Source organism: Homo sapiens, chromosome 5 (assembly GCF_000001405.40).
Source record: "Homo sapiens chromosome 5, GRCh38.p14 Primary Assembly".
In the NCBI taxonomy this organism is placed as follows: domain Eukaryota; kingdom Metazoa; phylum Chordata; class Mammalia; order Primates; family Hominidae; genus Homo; species Homo sapiens.
Genome location: NC_000005.10, coordinates 72749580 through 72768829, shown reverse-complemented (window position 1 = coordinate 72768829; position 19250 = coordinate 72749580). Strand labels below are relative to the sequence as shown.

Genomic DNA, 19250 nt, shown 5'->3' with positions numbered 1-19250 from the left:
TATTATTGCTACTATATTTTAAGACTAGTTAAGTATAGTAGTGAGAAGGCGGAAAGAGTAGAACAAAGAGTTTGATCTGTAACTGACTGAATAATCAATTGAGATAACTCACTACTCTCAGGTCAGCCTGATAAATTGTTTTGAAATAAAAATTTTAGCATATGTAGAGCTGATGATTCTCTTGGAGCAATTTTTCTAAAAATATTTAATTCTTTATACAAATTAATTTTGTATAAGACTAAATTTAATTTTAAATGTAAATTTATACAGTGGTTTCTTAATGTTTCCTTTGACATTTCCTATAACTTGTAGAGGCTGTACAAGAAATTAAATGTGGCTTCTTGATTTGTATAAAATTCAAAATGATGGTTTATGCAGTCTACCAATGTATCTTCAATTATAAGGAAAAAACTAATTTAAACATGGTCTCAGCTGCCATGATGGCACCTACCTGCAGTCCTAGCTCCTTCGGAGCCTGAGGCAGAAGGATCCCTTGAATCCAGGAGTTGAAGGCAGAATCCCTTAAGTCCAGGAGTTCAAAGCTATAGTGTGCCATGATCATGTCTGTGACTAGCCACTGCTCTCCAGCCTGGGCAACACAGCAAAAGCCTGTCTCAAAAATAAATAAATAAATGTGAAATTGTTTTACTCATTAATAGTTTGCTCATTTGAAGCTTCATATGAAACTAGTGTATTTTTCTATCAAATGCCACCATCTTTAAATTTGTTTTATATTTTTAAGCCACGATCTTTAAATTTCTTTTCCATTCCCAAGCCTATTTCTCTTTCTAAGCAGCTTTGTAATGTTGAGGCTATTTTCAAAATGTAAGATTCTAAACTCTTTAGAGAATTTTAATGACTCCCTGATATGCTTTCTCGCAATGTCCGTGTGTGCAGTTTTATTTTGTAATAATCTACTGAGAGTTTACTGCCTGTGTCCTGGCAGTTCCTATCTTGGCCTCAGGCCAGAATTAATATTTGTACAGACACCACAAGGTTAGGCTCCAGGGACTGATGGCCAAGCCCGTCTCCCTCTATGGGTCCCAGTGATGCCTACACGCAGAATCCCTTCTTTCTCCCTTGGCTGCAGCCACTGCTGCTCTTGCGGCTGCTGTCACTCTCCCTGCTGCCATCCTGGTCCCATGTCCAGGTCCAGCAGCCTTAGTCAGTTAAATATAATCTTTTTGTGTACTTAAGACCTTGAAAGATGAGCAGAATACTGCACAAGAGGAGCCAGGGGTGTTTATCTTCTTTGTACAAGAAATTTTTGTAGCCTCAAATGTGAGGGACCTCAGTCATTGAGACTTACTGGCACCAGTAAGTCTAAAATCAGGGGCCCAGACACAGAGCCACAGATGCTCAGGAAAAGCCTTAGCATTGCCAGGGGACCCAGGGGATTGAGTACAATTGTTTCCGAGATGTTCAACAACATATTCAGTATTATAGGTGACTGAGAATCTTCCAGAAGTGGTGTTACATGAAGATCGGTGTGTTGGAGCAAACAGTATCTGACCACCTTGAGGAAACTTGACAAGTTTACTTACATGCCAGCATGTTATCTTTAGCACTTCTTGAATATTCTACATGATTCATTCACTGTAGGTGTGAGATATATTGTACTGTTTTTTTTTTTTTTTACAATGATACTGTAAAAAATTTAATGGAAACATGTTTTAAAACAAGTTTTGAAAACTTTTTGTTATGGAAAATTTCAAACATATTCAAAAGTAGAGTGAATAGATAGTATAATGAACCCCGCTTTAGGTACCCGTTAATTCAGCTTCAGTGATTTCTTGACTGAATTTTATCTACGTCTCCATTCCCTTCCCTCAGTCCTGGGTTATTTTGAAACAAATCCTGAACATCCTATCATTTTATCAGCAAATATTTTAATAATATCTTTAAAAGATTAAGTACTATTATTTCACCTAAAAAATGAATGATTCTTAATACTATAAAATAGTTATTAGTTAAATTTCTCTAATTAACTCAATTTTTTTTCAGAGTTTGTTTGAACCATGATCTAAACACACACTGCATACTGCTATTAGTTGGTATGCTTCTTAAGTCTCTTTTAATATATAATTGTTGGCTGGGTGCCATGGCTAATGCCTGTAATCCTGGCACTTTGGGAGGTTGAGGTGGCCAGATCACTTGAGCTCAGAAGTTCGAGACTAGCCTAGGCAAAATAGAGAAACCCTGTCTCTACAAAAAAGTACATAAAAAAAATTAGTTGGGCACGGTGGCGTGTGCCTGTGGTCCCAGCAACTTGGCAGGCTAAGACAGGAGGATTGCTTGAGCCTGTGAGGTGGAGGTTGCAGTGAGCTGAGATTGCACCACTGCAATCCAGCTTGGGTGACAGGAGTAAAACTCTGTCTGAAAAACAAAAAACAAATCAAAAAACAAAAAAGAAAACCCTGTCTCAAAAAAAAAAAAAACACAAACAAACCCAGATGTATGTGTGTGTGTGTGTATATATATATATATATATATATATATTTGCCCCATCTCCTCTTTTTTCCTTTGTAATTTCTTTGTTGAAGAAACTGGCTCATTTTGTCCTGTAGAATGAATCATGGTATGGATTCTGCTTCTTGCATCCTGCTGTGGTCTGAATGTTTGTGTCCCTGCAAAACTCATATGCTGAAATTCCAGTCTCTAAGGGAATGGTATTAGGAGATGAGGTTTTTGGGAGGTAATTAGGTCATGAGGGTGGAGCCCTCATGAATGGCATTAGTGCCCTTCATCAAAGAGATCCAAGAGAGACCTTGTGTGCCTTCCACCATGTGGGGACATGGTAAAAATATGGTTGTCCATGAACTATAAGTGGGCCCTTGCTAGACATCAAAGCCTTGATCTTGGAGTTCTTAGCCTCCAGAATTTGAGAAATAAATTTCTGTTTTTTATAAGCCATTCAGTTTATTGTATATTTTTTAGAGCAGCCTGAATGGGCAAAGACACACCTCTAGGTGATTGCTTAACACATTCTGCTGTTCTTTGTATTTCTGTAACTTGTTCCTTGTATTTTTGTAGGCTTAAGAGATTTCTCTTTGATTATTTGGTGTGTGGCTACTTCATAGGTGGTCTTGTGTACTTCTATCCAGACACAATAATGTTACTTTTTTGTGATGTTAGCAGCCACACACAATAATGGATTTTTTCAGATCCATTATTTCATGAGGGTTTACAAAAGGATTATATTTAAATTGTATCATTATTTATTAGCTGGGCTATTTCTATAAAGATAAACCTCTCTGTATAAAATATGGTTATTATGGTCTGAAGTATAGTATGCATAAAAAAAAGACTTATGCTTATGCTTGATTCTTTCTCTTTATTTATCAGTTTTCAAAATAGTGAATTGCTTCTCCAGCATCCTCCATATGTGACCAATGAGTTTTTAAAAGAATAATTATGAATTCATGAGTTTAAATTTATTTGATGTGTTTTAATCCCTACTAATGCCCACATTGTCTCATCTTTGGCCAGTGAGAGAATTGCTTGGCTCTTGAGTCCTTTGACAGGCTCACACTAGTCTTTTATAGTTTCCTTGCTTTTTGGTATAGTCTGATATTCCAGCTTCATTTGGCACATTTTCTGTCCCAGGTTTGGAAACAGCTATTTCTCCAATGTATCCTGTGTTTTTTAGTGGAAATGATGTTTTCAAACTACAGTCAAGTTTATAGGTGTTTCCAGTAGACAGAGCCAGGAATTTTAAAAAATAAAATAAATGATGAATTCATACTGATACTTCTAATTCAAACTCAGGATCACAGGGTTTTTGTTTAACATTATCAATCTTATGTCATCTGTATCTTCTTTCTCCATGAAGAAACTGGTTGCTTCTCAAGGACACCAACATAATTATTCATTTGCTTTGTCCCACAGAACATAACCCCCAAAAATAACTGTATCAACACTATACCAACAATGTGTTTACTGCAGACAATTTATAATTATTTTATTTTATTTTTAGAGAACAAGGTCTCACTTTGACACCCAGGCTGGAATGCAATGGCATGATTACTGTAATCTTGAGCCCAGAATAGCTGGGACTACAGGAGCACTCCTTTACACCCAGCTAATTTAAAAATTATTTGTACAGGCAGGGCCTCACTATGTTGCCCAGGCTAGTCTTGAACTCCTGGGCGTAAATGACCCTCCTACCTCAGGCTTCTAGAGCCCTGGGATTACAGGTGTGAGTCACTGCACTGGCCCAATTTATTGTTATTTATATAGTACTTTTTGTCTTTAGGTTTAATCTTACTAGGATTAAACAACCAAATTATTGTGTTATAAAGTCATTGGAAATAATTTGTGTGATCTATTTTTAAAATTTTGTTTTTGTTTTATAGAATTTAATTTTTAAATTTAATTTTGTTTTATAATTATGTAAAATATTTATGTGTCCTCAAAGTCAAATATACAAAATGAAATATATTCAGAGTAGTGTAACTTTTGCCTCTGCCCCTACTCTATTCTCTCTCTCTCTCCCATAGTTTTTTTAAAATTAAATTTTTGGTTTAGTATTCTATTTTTTATAGTTATTATAGTGTGTCAAGAAGATATATAAAGTTGGTCAGGGTCATTAGCAAACTAGGTATCTTTCACAACCTGAAGTTGTAGAGTCTGGGGGTGAGGAGGGAAAAGGAGGATGGAGGTAGGCATTGGGCTTCTGATGGGCACAGCAAGAGTAAATATGACCTGGAGATTGAAGAGTCTGCTGTTGCTTGCTCAAGTAAACAAAGGAAAATGCTATAAATACCTGGGAGATATTAGAAAAACTAGAATGATAGTGAGAAGCAAGGTAAAGATTCATTCAACACTTATCAAGAACTCATTGTTTTCTAGGAATGGTGACAAGGCAAGACTGATCAAGTTTCAGGGAAGGTCTAATTTCTTAGTCAGTATACATGTTCATTTGTGATTCCTTGGGTTCTCTTATTTTATTCATATAGTAATGAAGTAGTTGAGAAGAAGTTGACTTTGAATTGGGCATATCAGGAAATGTTTCTAAGGTTCTATAGTGTCTTGTTTCAGTAGCTGGCTCTTGGTAGATAGACAGCCAAAGAGATAGATAGAGAGGCAAAGAGAATAGATTGAGAGGCAAAAGCTAGACAGGGAGACAAAGAGAAAGGGCATCCCAGGAAGAAGGGGACAGGTGACCTAGGTGTGTTTGTGAGCATTCATTCATGGCTGTTCTCATATGAATCATTTATTTTTCTTTTTTGTGTGATGAAGTCTTGTTCTGTTGCCCACGCTGGAGTGCAGTGGCGTGATCTTGGCTCACTGCAACCTCTGCCTCCTGGATTCAAGCGATTCTCCTGTCTCAGCCTCCAGAGTAGTTGTGATTACAGGCACGTGCCACTACACCCAGCTAATTTTTGTAGTTTTATAGAAACAAGTTTTCACCATGTTGTTCTTGAACTCCTGACCTCAAGTGATCTGCCCACCTCGGCTTCCCAAAGCGCTGGGAATACAGGTGTGAGCCATTGCCCCTGGCCAGGTAACTATGGAAGGTGATGGATATATATATATATATATATATATATATATATATATGTATTTTTAAGAGATCGGGCCTTGCTATGTTGCAGGCTGGTCTTGAACTCCTGGGCTCAAACAATCCTTGCACCTTGGCCTCCCAAAATGCTAGGATTACAGGTGAATCATATGAATCATTTCTAAAACCAGGACTTGGGCCAAAATAACTTAACATGCCTAAAAATACTAGATGATTTGGCAGAACCAACAAGTATAGGATAAATGGAACATTTTAAAATAAGGATAATTTATTTTCTCTCATAGAATTATGTTATCTAGAGTAAGATGATTAATTGTGTGTGTCCACTTGACTGGCCACAGGGTGCCTAGACTAAATATGATTTCTGTTGTGTCTTTCTAGATGTTTCTGGATGAGATTAGCATTCAAATTCGTGGACTCATTAAAGTAGATGGCTCTCTCCAATATGGGTGGGCATCATCCAATCTGTTGAAGGCGTGAAGAGAACAAGAGAAGGAGGAAGGAAGAATTCACCTTTTTTCTTGCTGCCCACCTGCTTGGGCTGGGACATTGCATCTCACCTTCTCCAGCCTTTGGATGAGGATTTACACCCTGGTTCTCAGGCCTTCAGGCTCTAACTGGAGCTACACTATCAACTTTCCTGGGCCTCCAGATTGCAGATGGTGGATCACGGTACTTTTTAGCCTCCATCATAATGTAAGCCAATTCCTAATAATAAATCTCTTTCTCTCTCTATCTATATATCTATCTCCTCTCTAGTTCCGTTTCTCTGGAGAACCCTGACACATAGAGTTAGAAATTAGGTTTTTTGCTTTTTGCTTTTTTTGAGATGGAGTTTCACTCTTGTTGCCCAGGTTGGAGTGCAATGGCGTGATCTTGGCTTACTGCAACTCCAGTTCTCATGCTTCAGCTTCCTGAATAGCTGGGACTACAGGTGCATGCCAGTATTCTTAGTAGAGACGGAGTTTCACCATGTTGACCAGTCTGGTCTTGAACTCCTGACCTCAGGTGATCCACCCACCTCAGCCTCCCAAAGTGCTGGGATTACAGGCGTAAGCCACCGCGCCTGGTTGAAATTAGTTAGTTTTTTTTTTTTAATTTAAATAAGGCCCGTCTGTGAAAAAGGCAAAAAGAGCCCTTTTAAACAATCCTGTTATTTCACAAAAATCTCAGTTGCTCTTATCACAGCTCTAAAAGTGAAATAGTCAGGTGAAATGGGAAAAAATAGTTCTCGATTATTCTAAATGGTTGTAAGGCACCCCTTGTTATAGTGCTCCTTTTATTTTTTGTGTTACTTGTCAGGTTTGTGAGGAAGTAAAATACATTCTTGGATACAGTAGTAAGAGAGAGAAGAAATTACTGCATTTCATCAACTTAAGATGCCATGGACTATAAGATGTACTGTTATTTTATGAACATTAAGAAAGAGAAAAAAACTGTCATTAAACCATAACACAATATAAGATCCATTTCAATTTCAGAGATGTTAAAATGTGAAAATAAGTGTGCATTTTAGAATCAATATGATATAGTAATTGTTGACTGCCTACTGTGTACCAGGCTTTGTTGCTGATCCTTGACAAACACTATCTTCATTAACCTAGTGATGTGTGTACCCCTGGCCCTATTTTACAGATGAGAAAAAAGAGGCACAGTGAAGCTAAATATATTGGCTAAAGATCACAAAGCTAGTAAGTAGAACAAGCTACTTACCTACTTGAACAAGAAACTTCCTCTTTTCAAACCTCTGTTCTGTTCTTTTTTTTTGTTTTTTTTGAAACTACGACAGTCATTTATTCTCTCTAACAGTTACTATTGGTGAGGAATTTTGGAGTAATTTGATTGGGTGTTCTGGCTCAAGGGTCTCTTATGAGTTTGCAGTCAGATGTCAGCTGTGGCTACATCATCTGGACACATGACTGAGGGTGGAACATTCAATTTCAAGGTATCTCACTCATATGGCTGGTAAGTTGGTTCTGGCTGTTGGCTAAGAGTCTCAATTTCTGGCCACATGGGCCACTCCATGAGGCTGCTTGAGTGTCCTCTCAACATGGTGTCTGGATCTTTGGATTACAAAAGACTAATGTGGAATCTGCAATGCCATTTATAATTTATCCTTGAAAGTTCACACACTTCTGCTGTACAAACTTCTGTTCTTACCCGTGACTCTTTTGTCAAGCTGTGTCTTGATAAATTGTAACACTTTTGAGTCTTTGAAGAAAGTGATCTGTTTTTAGTGTGGGTACTTTATATTGATCTCAAACACTTGTAGCATAATACTGGGAAGATAATGAGTCACTGAGTTTTAAATCATTACTTGAGTAATGTTAATGAACATCTTTTGGGGTATGTATTTGAATGCCAACTAGTTATTGACTATCCAAAAAGTGGTTTTCCTTGGTCTCTAGACAGGGACTTTGCATTTGTCAAGAGTTCTTAAGTAGATAGAAAGAAAGCAAGATAAATCAATAGATAGATTTAGATACAGCCATATGAGAGGGGATTTAGTAGGGGAATTGGCTTACATGATTATGGAGGCTGAGAAGCCCCACAACAGGCCATCTGCAAGCTAGAGACCCCAGGATACCTGTAGCATGTCTCAGTCTAAGTCCGAAGCCCTCAGAACCAGGGAGGCTGCTGTTTAACTCTCAGTCTGAAGCTGAAGGCCTGAGAACCTGGGGGGCCACTGGTATAAGCCCTGAAGTTTAAAAGCCAGAGAGCCTGGAGTTCTGATATCCAAGGACAGGAGAAGAATGTATCTCAGCTCTAGAAGAGAGGAAATTTATTTTTGTTCTATCTGGATCCCCAGCCAATTGGGTGGTGCCAGCTCACATTGAGGGCAGATCTTCACTGGTCAGTCTACTGACTCACACACCAGTCTCCTCCAGAATCACCCTCACAGACACACCAAGAAATGATCCATTACCAGTTCTCTAGATATTCCTTAATCCGGTCAGGTTGGCACCTAAAATTAACCACCACAGGGCTTTACTTTATATGTCTAACATTCCTCAAAGAGTTCCTGGCCAAGGGATATTGTTGTGTTCAATGGTAGAATGCTAAAATGCCTTTTATCAAGACAGTTCCATACTGCTTTTAAAATGCTCTGGGCTATTTCCATTCTAAACTACTGAAGCATACACTTGTGGAAAAGCAGCAAGAATCCTAACACATAATCTAGTTGAGAGCAGAACTCAGAAAATGAGACACTTAACAGGTAAGCATTTGTCTTTGGGGTGAAACTTCCCTTTGTTTTAGTGTGGACAACTTGAGTGAATTATTTTAGTAATGTATTTGTAGAGCAAACACCTATCCATTTTTCTGGGGGAAGCCCAAGATGTAAAGTAATAATCTCAAATGCAAAAGTTTTAGAGTAAGATATTAAGTGTTTGTTTAATAATATAAATGTAGTGTATTAGCAAGTTAATGAAAAAAAATCCTAAATCTGGATTTAGACTATCCTTTACATGAAAATTATTGTGTTAGTGGAATTACATGTCTTTTTGTTCAAGCAGCATCGTTTCAAGGTTGGGAACCATGGCAGGAAGATCATGCAGGTCTGGACTTCCTTTCCCCTCAAGGCAAATAGAATTCTGTGATAAGGATATAGAGCGGCTTGAAGCTAGATGAACTGGACCATTGGTGTCCTACACAGAAGCTATTTAAGAAGGAACAGCCCTGATTTGGAAAAATGTTTAACGACTCACTCTAGTGATTGTCCCGGGTGTGTCTTTGAGATGAGGGCAGCCTCAACCTGAAGGAACTGGGTTCTCATATTCCTGCCATCCTGAGGTGAAAAAGAAAAGGGTCTTGGACAATGGAGTGAAGGCAATCAATCCTTGTTTCTTGGGAGCAAAGAGGGAATTGAGATTGTCCTCTGGTATATGGAAGTGTCTGAAGATTTCTGTGGATGGGGGTGCAGCTGACTCCCACTCCTATTAGAAAAAATACCTGTGGGAGTCGGGTAGAGAGAGTCAACTTGTGTTTGGTCTGTGGCTTTCAAAGTAACCACCTTTAGTCATGCTATAGGTTGCCTTCTAGGGGTATTCTATTCTTTCAAATCTTTTAGTGAAGCCTTATTTAAAGGGATAGCCCCTTCCTAGATGTGCCTTGGGGGCATTAATGAAAGGATCTATGTCCATGCTTGGGGTCTACATGATGCTGGGGAGGCAGAAAGAGTCTAGGGCAGGGGTTAGGTCTGAGCGGAGATGCTGTGCATGGAGTAGCCCAATAATCCAGAAACAGCATCTGTCTGGGGGATCCCAAGAATTTGCAGAACTTGCCATCATTCCTCAGGTTTTCACTGCTATACTTGAGAAAGTAACCAAATGAAAGATGTGACTTTCTGCTTTTACAGGGATGTAGGTCAGGCTATTGTCATTTGGGCATTGAAGAGAAGGTTGCCTTTGGAAAGCAGGAGAACTTGGGGGGAATAGCTGACTTGCACATCCTTCAATACTCCACTTAGCTATCATTCCTTCTAACGTCTCCTCAGCTTCATGTCTGAGTTCAGTGTCTTTTCTAGTGTTCCTTTAGTCCCCGGATGCTATCATTTACACAAGCAAATAATAATTACAACAGACTCTTATTGAGTACTTACATTGTGCCAAACACTAAGTTAAGTGCTTTACATGGATTATCTCATTCAGTAATTTGGTAATCTCTATTTTTCAGCAGAGGACACTGAAACCTAGAGAAATTATGTGATTTGCTTCAAGTCCTACAGAGGGACACTCATAGAGCCAGATTTTAAACCAAGATGGTCTAGTCCAGAGCCAGTACATGCAGGATTTAGAATATACTCATTTTATTTTTCCCCTTTTCCAGTTTTTTTTTTTAAGTACTATGAGCTTTCTTAGAATAGTCTCTTTCCTTTATATCTGCATCCTTATCTTTTAGTATAGGGCTAGGCACCTTAGTAAGTGTTTGACAAATGTTTGTGAAAAGGATAAATGAAAGACAGAGCCTAAGGCATAAAATTTTAAGACAATACACTGAAGCTGTTACAGTTTATGATTGAATAAATAAAGTACTCAGCTCTCCTCTTGGTACATAATCATCATTTAATAAGTGTTAATTGTTTGTTATCATTAAGTTAGTTATTTTATTATCATTTAAGCCCGGAGGATCACTTGAGGCCAGGATTTCAAGACCAGCCTGGGCAACATAGTGAGACCCCTGGATCTCTGCAAAAAAAAAAAAAAAGTTATATTTATTTAGAAAAACAATTATTTTTGCATAGGAATGCATCATATGTCTTAATTTTTCAAAATTTCCTTCGCTTTAATCACATATTTCCATATGATTTTAGAAAGAGGTGAATGGTTAGTTTCTATGCAGTATTTTGAATGTATAGGAGTTAAATGTCACTTTTGATAGTTTTCCCTTGAAATTTGAGCTGTGCTTGCTTGAAATATGAATATAGTTAAGTAGAAAAGCAGGCTGCTACAAGTTCAATTTAAGAAATCTGTAGTGTAACAATTTGGGAATGAAGATGACAGTAAATGTAAAAGGTTTCTTATCATGTGTGTCCAGCTACACAGCCTGAGGACAAAAGCCAACCACCAGATTAGAGGAATATTATGATTTTGGTATACAAAACTTAGCTTTCTCATTTTTTGCTTCACAGCCAATCTATTCCCATTATTCTTACTACAAAAGTTCCTAAATTGATTTTACATTAAAAATTTTATAAATCTAAAATGTATTATGATACCTACTTATGGTATTGGAATATCCTGATGTGGATGTCTTTGAGGAGGTATCTCAAGTAAATTATTATATCTCATTATTGTTATATTTACCCTTTACCCATTTGTGGCAGAGCCTGGTGGTTGGACATTCAAATATCCATTCTCTCTCCTCCTTACGAACAGAATCTTGCATTTATATGGCGGCAATACACCCAAATAATGGACTTAAGCCTTCCTTGCAACTAGGTGTGGGTGGATTATCTGCTCAAAAAGATAAAAATGCAAGTGTTGTGAGTTATTTTGGGAAAATCTCTTTTAAAAGGAGAGAGTAGACCCTTCTTTCCCCCTTCTTTTTTCCCATTGCCTGGAATGTATACCTAATGCCTGGAGCTCCAGCAGCTATTCTGGAACATGAGGTGACATCAGGAATAGAAGCCATAAATGGCAAACAATAATGTAGAAAGATCCTGGGCCTCTAACACCACGAAGCCTTAACACTAGCATTGAACTACCAATTTCTGGCCTTCTGTTATGTGAAAGAGGTATAAACTTTCATCTTATTTCCACTGTTACTTCGGGTCTTTCTGTTATATATGGCCAAACCCAATCCTACTAAATAAACCATTATTTTAATAAAGTATCAGAAACTTTTCAAGAGAACTTTCTTTGTATTTCTATCAGTGTGTCAAGGTGCCTTCACTATGTGGTGTTTTGTTTTTGTTCATCTCTAGCCTCCTGGTCCTATCTTCCCTTCTCTAACACTCTTGTTAGTTTCCCTTGAAGACGTCAGCTATTTTGAGGACCCTTATTGCCATACTCCTGTTTTCAGTATTACTGTAAGGATCTTATCATTTTCTCAGATATCGCTCTTTTCTCTGAAATTTGCCTGGGGCCGCAGCATAAATCTACAGTTACAACCATGAAGGTAGAAGTTGCTCATTAATTCAGAGGGCAGGAACTTGTGAACATAACTGTTGTAAGTGATATTTTATTTAATAGGATTTGTGGATACTAATTTTTAGATGATGTTTCTAGGATGATAGATTAGCAAATAATGAGTTGAATACAGATAGTCTTGATTTCAACCAAGCATTTGATAGTCTCTAATGAGAAACAGTGCATACAAAGAACCCTGACCAAGGAGTCTAGAGCTTTGACTCCCATCTCTGACATTCATTAGCTATAAGAAAATATATCTTTTGACTTGGAAAAGACATCTAAACTCCTTGACCCTCTGTTTCCATATCTGTAAAATGAGCTGTGATAATGATAAAATGAGTTGTGATAAATATTAAATGAGTTAATGCACATGTACAAACATTTTTGTTTTTAGTTCTAACGTACTTTGCAAATATAATGTACTATGCAAACATAACGTACTTTGGGCCAATGGTAAAAAATCTGAGTCCAGAACTAAGTATAGTCTTGCTAGCTATGTGATTTGGGCCAAATTATTTAATGTCTCTGAGCCTCAGCTTTCCTATCTATAAAATGAAAATGATGATAGTACAGCCTTACATGGCTGTTATGAGAATTAAATGAAATAATATATGTGAAGACTCCAAGGCAGTACCAGGTACTCAAAAAGTGAAAAATATTAGTATTCTTATGGTTATTGCCATTATTACTTTCTTGGAGATAAATGGTGAACTTGGAGATAAATGTCTTGCTGACATTTAGAGTAGATAAATGGATGTGTAGTTGACCCATACTATAAAAAGAATATCTATTACTAGCTTAAAATCAACTTAAAGGAACAAATTGGGTAGAATATTGCAGGCTCAGCCAATGTTTTTATTAATGTGATGTGTGAAGATCAAGTTTGCTTATTACATGTGATCATAACACCAAGTTGATAGGAATGGAACCATGGATGTAACATAATGGAAAAGACTTGGAGTTTGAACACTTTGGCTTTGAGACCCAAAATTCAACCGTATGACTCAGTTTCTTCATCTGTAAAATGATATTAACACTAGCAAAATTCCAGGAAGATGCATTGTGAGTATATGTTTTAAAGTATCTCACATAATTCATGACTCATTCTGAAAAATGACAGTAGGTTTGCTTGTTTACCATTTAAAGTAGATCCAATAAATGGCAATAATATAAATACCATTTACAAGCTTCAAACTTATGCAATTTCTTTTAAAAAATAGGGAATTTGAATTATTTCAAATTTTATGCACAAAATATACCTTTACTAGTATTTCCAATTCATGTACTAAAAATTTGCATAAAATGAATCAACCTGGGCTGCTACTCAGGATATGGCTGGATTTTTTGGATTCTGAAACCAGCCTGAAACATTGGGAAGATTTGAGAAGAGCAATTTGACCAAAACCTGATGGTTGTTCCTAGAAAGATCAATTTTGATAGAAGACTGACAATATGACAATACATTTTTTTGTCTCTCAGCTGTATCTCGAAGACAATGATGCCCTGCTGGTATGGGGTAAAAGCTGGCTGAAGCTGACTAGATAAGCTAGATTTATGTATTAAGTTGGATAAAACTGAAATTTGAAGCTATACTGGGTACCTGTTATTTTCCTGTTTGTCGTTCAGACTACAAGAAGGGTCTAGCCACAGATATCTACCAACAATGGCTATATCAAATGCAGTCTTTCAGTCTTACTTGACTTCTAAAGCCTTGTGTTTTTATGGCTTTGCCATAGCTACTGTGGTGAAGAGCTCTACGTGGGCCCATGCATTTCTCTTACCTGAGGCTAACACTCAGAATCTCTGGCCTATCTTACCATTACTAGATTTCTATGAAGTTCTACATAGAAGACTAGCTGCTAGTGGCTGCCGAAGTGGCCACCGCCTGGGTGTTCAGAGGAATCCACTCTTCATAGAGCAAATTTTGATTAGGGGGAAATAGGAATCAGGATGGAGCTAGCAGAAAAATTCTCTCCCTACTTCTCCCTGTAGTGGACTGTTCTGAGTTATGATTTTTCCATATAGCCTGCCCAGACAGGTCCTGCATGGCCAAGTGGGAGTCAAGCAATGCTTGTTTTGGAATAGTAGCCAGTGTGATCAATGCATTACCTTACATTTGCTTCCCATATTCTGCTGCTTCAATTTTCTTTTCCTTTTCTCTTGCTGCCCTGGGATTACACTTGTCCATAAGCCTGGCCTCACACTCATTTTTTTTTTTTTCTAGAGAACTCAGACTAGAGCACTTACTATGAGCAGTAAATTCAGCTAGGTACTGAGTCCGTACTTTCTAAAAGCTACAATTTAGGTTAAGAGACAGACACATGAAGCGTACAATACAAAACCACACATGATGACAACACATGATCTCATCTTTGAGATCCTCCAAAACTTGGGTAGTTATCTCGGGTTCTGGTGATTTCTTTTTGCACTACTTATCACATCCTAATTTGCCTCTAACATTGCAGTTAGTCCTCTGAGATTTATTTAAGCTCTTCACCTTATGTGAAGGCCAGCATTTTCCTTGGAGTTTCAATAAAATATTTTGAATGTGTTTGTTTCTGTGGATATTTTGCTTTAGAAAATATACCACTTAGTTTTTCTTTAATAATAGCATTTTATCATAGTTCTCTTTTAAAATCAAATTACTGTCAGATTTTTTGGCTATTCTTCTGAGTCAGATAATTGAGTATAATGATGTTGTTTACCCATAGATACTATTTAGACTAATTTTTGTTCTGCTTTGTTAAATTAATTTAGCAGTCCTTGCAGCCTAGCTAGCTGCCTGTATGGTACTATAGTGGGTGTTTTGGACCCAGACTTTATATTTTTGAACACAGTTGTCTCTAAGTGGAGACAAAAATGTGACTCAATTTGAAAAGTGCCAGAAATTTGCTTTAGTTGACTAAAGGTAGAAGATAAAATGTGTTGTGGGGGAAGTCTTTTTCTTCATTTGGGAGGATTACTTTGTTGTCTTATTCATGTAGATATAAATTAGGTATATAGGTTAAATATTGCTGCTTAGCAAATCATCCTAAAACTTGCAACAAGAACAGTAATTTATTTTTCACAAAGTTTCTGAGGGTCATTAACTCAGGAATAGCTTAGCTGCATAGTTCTGGCTCAGGGTCTGCCATGAGATTTGCTAATCCATCACTTGGCAGTTATGATGTTGATCAGGGCTGTAGTCTTCAAAAGGCTTTACTGGGGCGGGAAGATCCATTTCCAAACGGGCTCACTCATAGGGTTAGCCAAGTTGATGCTGGCAGTTGGAGGAGGCCTCAGTTCCTCACCACTTGGATATCTCCATGGGGCTGTTTTGGTATTCTCATGACATGGTAGCTGGTTTCCCCAGCATGAATGATCAAAGAGAAAACAAGGAGGGGGTAGAATGTTTTAAATGACATAGCCTTGATAGTCGCACATTGTCACTTCCATTGGATTCTGTTGGTTGCACAGACCAACCCTGATACACTGTAGGAGGGAACTATACAAGGAAGGTAATGAGCACCAGGAGGCAAGAGTCATTAGGGAGCCATCTGGAGGCTGGCTACCACATTAAATTATATCTGTTATTTTTCTTGAAAGCCTTTTAACTGTGGAGTAATCCAAATGCAAATCTTATCAGACAGGGATGAGAGGTATTTTGTTTGATAATAACATTCTCAAAGGCTGACCTGATGGGAGATCAGCATGCATCTCTGCAGAGATTAATTTAATGGTAAGTGATTTTTCTTCCTCCTCTGCTGGAGAGGCCACCAGTGGTAGTGAGAAGGGAAAAAACGAGATGCCCATTGGAAGGACTCACGGGGATGGGGTAAAATCTTAAGTTTTTGCAGTTTTAACTTTAGTAACTCAAAGTTCCTGTAGCTCACACTTCTGGCAAAATTCCCACAGAAAGTTCTGTGATTCTTCAAAGGGCCCCTGGCTTCATGCATGCCCACAGTCCAGCCTGTTAGGAGCAATCATCACATGGGACTGCTGTGTTCTCTCTCATGTTCCAGCTTCCCTGAGTCCATGTCTGCAGCCTCCATTTATTTTTTCTGGAATATACTTTTTTCCCTGAAGCTACAAATCCCCTAGGAGCCAAAGGGATGCTGGATCCAGTGCAGCTGATTTCTCACAGGGAAATCAGCCCTTTCTCTAACTTTTGGGTCCTACGTCATTGCCAGGGCCCTGAAGCTGCACCACTTATGCCCAGACCATCGCAAGGTGTTTCATGAAAACAGGTCCTTTATATCTTTGATTAACTATCCACCAAAAATGCGCAAGGACCAATAGTAGCGTTTAGGCACAGTTAGTCTAAAACCACAATCCAAAAGGAAACATGCCTCCAAAGGAAATGGTGTTTGCAGAAAATCAGCTCGTCCTATAACATAGATAACATTTTCTTATCTCAGCTTGAGCATTCTTTTTTCCTTGAGAGGTACTCTCTTAACTATTTCTTTTTTCATTATGGCCTGTGACTTGCATACCCAAAGACCCTTTCTGGTAGGCTTTCCTAGAACAAAGAGTGAGGCTTCTGTAATGCCTTATCAAAATCTCTACTTCTTAGGCTAGCAGGGTGGCTCATGCCTGTAATACCAGCACTCTGAGAGACTGAGGAGGGAGGATCACTTGAGCCCAGGAATTCGAGACCACCTTGACAACATAGCAAGACCCCCCATCTCTAAAAAAATTAAAAATTAATCGGACACGGTGCTTCAGTGAGCCATGATCACACCACTGCACTCCAGCCTGGTGACAGGGTGAGATCCTGTTTCAAAAAAACAAAAACAAAAACTCTACTTCTTGCATATCAAAAGCTCTTGCATAGCTGGACTAAATCCTTCTTGGTCATGGTGTATAATTCTTTTTACACATTGTGGGGTTTGATTTCCTAATATCTTAGAGGATTTTGTGGCTGAGTTCATGAAAGATGCTAGTCTGTAGTTTTCTGTTTTCTGGAAGAGATTGTGTAAAATTGGTGTTAAATTTTTGGTAGAATTCTACAGTGAAACCATCTGACAATTGATCGGCTTCTCCTTCCCTCTTTCCTTCCCTCCCTCCTCCCTTCCTTCGTCTTTCTCTTCCTTCCTTTCTTTTAATAGACTTTATTTTTTAGAGCAGTTTTAGGTTCACAGCAAAATCGAGCAGAAGGTACAGATATTTTCCACATGCTCTCTTGTCCCCACGCATGGGTACCCTTCCCCATTATCTACTTCCTTCACCAGAGTGGTGCATTTGTTACAACTGATGAACCCACATTAACACATTATTATCACCCAAAGTCTGTGGTTTACATTAGGCTCTACTCTTGGTGTTATACCTTCCATGGATTTACACAAATGTATAATGACATGTATGCGCCATTATAGTACTGCACAGAGTTGTTTCACTGCCCTGCGAATCCTCAGCCTATTCATTCCTCTCTCCCCTGGCAACCACTCATCTTTTCACTGTCTCTGTAGTTTCGCTTTTTCCAGAATGTCATATACTGTAGTATGTGACACACAGCACAGCACATAGCTACGCACAGCACGTAGCTTTTTCAGGTTGGCTTCTTTCACTTAATAATAAGCATTTAGGTTTCCTCTATGTCTTTTTATGGCTTGACAGTCATTTCTTTTTAGTGCTGAATAATATTCTATTGTTTGGATATACCACACTTTATCTATTCATCTACTGAAGGACATCTTGTTTTTTTCCAAGTTTTGGTAACTGTGAATAAAGCTACTATAAACATCTGTGTGCAGGTTTTTGTCAATTATATCCAGTTGATTGATGGGTCACTGAGTTCAACTATGTCCTTATTGATTTTCTGCCTAATGGATCTGTCCATTTCTGACAGAGGGATATTGAAGCCTCTAACTACAGTAGTGGATTCATCTCTTTCTCTTTGCAGTTCTATTAGTTTTTGCCTACTTTATTTTGATGTGTGCTTGTCAGGTGACAGGTTGTTATGTGTTCTTGGAGAATTAGGCCTTTTATCATTATGTAATAATGCTCCTCTCTATCCCTGAGAAATTTCCTTGCTCTGAAGTTTGCTCTAACATTAATATAGCTAGTCCTGCTTTGTTTTGGTTAGTGTTAGCATAGTATATCTTTCTTTATTCATTAACTTTTAATCTATGTGTGTCTTTATATTTAAAGTGGGTTTCTTGCAGACAATGTAGAGTTGGGTGGTTTTTTGATCAATTTGGATAATCTGTCTTTTCATTGGTACACTTACACCACTGACATTTAAAGTGATTAGTAATATATTTGGATTAATATCTAGCATATTTATTACTGCTATTTGTTCCTCCTTTTTCTTATTCCCTTTTTGTCTTCCACTCTTTTTCTATCTTTTGTGGTTTTGATTGAATATTTTATGATTCCTTTTTTCTCCTTTCTTCACATATCAGTTGTATTTTTTTTTTTTACCTTTTTTTCAGTGGCTGCCCTAGAGTTTGCAATATATATTCACAACTAATCCACGTTCAAATAACACTATACTGCTTCACAATTAGTGCAAGTACCTTATAATTAAAAAATAATCACAATTCCTCCCTGCCATCCTCTGTGTATCACTGCTTGCATTCATTTCACTAACACAGAAGGATACATAATCAAATACAGTAGTCCCCCCTTATCTTCAGTGGATACCTTCCAAGACCCCTAGTTGATGCCTGAAATCAAAGATAGTACTGACACTGATTGGCATCAAGTGGAACACACTTCTGTTCACATCTTCCACCCACAAATTTAATGCCTTTTTCATCTTAACAAAGCACTTATCATGCACTGTGACTGTAACTTTTGCAGTCTGAGGTCTGACAGCAAAACTAGCATGCATTTGTTTTTCTTTCTGCACAGTTCATGGATTGAAATTCATTCTTATTGTAGAATTTAGCAACCTCAGCATTTGGTTTTTTCCCCTTTCCCTATTAAGTAAAAAAACTCACCTTTTCATTTAAAGGGAGCACTTTAAGGCTTCCCTTTGGCCTATTCAAACTGCCACCATCACTACTCTTGTGCTTTGGGGCCCAGCACAAGGACTGCGATACTGAGGCAGCTGATTTGATTACCAAAATGGCTGCTAAGTGACTGACATGTGGTTAGGGTACACAGCAGAG

General features: G+C 37.9%; 1 long non-coding RNA gene across 20 annotated transcripts in view; it reads left to right on the top strand.

Annotated features, from left to right (window-relative positions):
• TNPO1-DT (TNPO1 divergent transcript) overlaps window positions 1–19250 on the top strand; it is a 245434-nt gene that overhangs the window by 47719 nt on the left and 178465 nt on the right. For 9 of the 20 annotated variants that reach the window (NR_186516.1, NR_186514.1, NR_186515.1 and 6 more), the window contains 2 exons: window positions 5906–6220; window positions 7160–7215. This is a non-coding gene — a long non-coding RNA (TNPO1 divergent transcript). Of the gene's footprint in view, window positions 1–5905; window positions 6221–7159; window positions 10576–12077; window positions 12194–19250 lie in introns of those variants that run through there. The other 11 variants (NR_105007.2, NR_186513.1, NR_186522.1 and 8 more) reach the window with 7 other exon arrangements.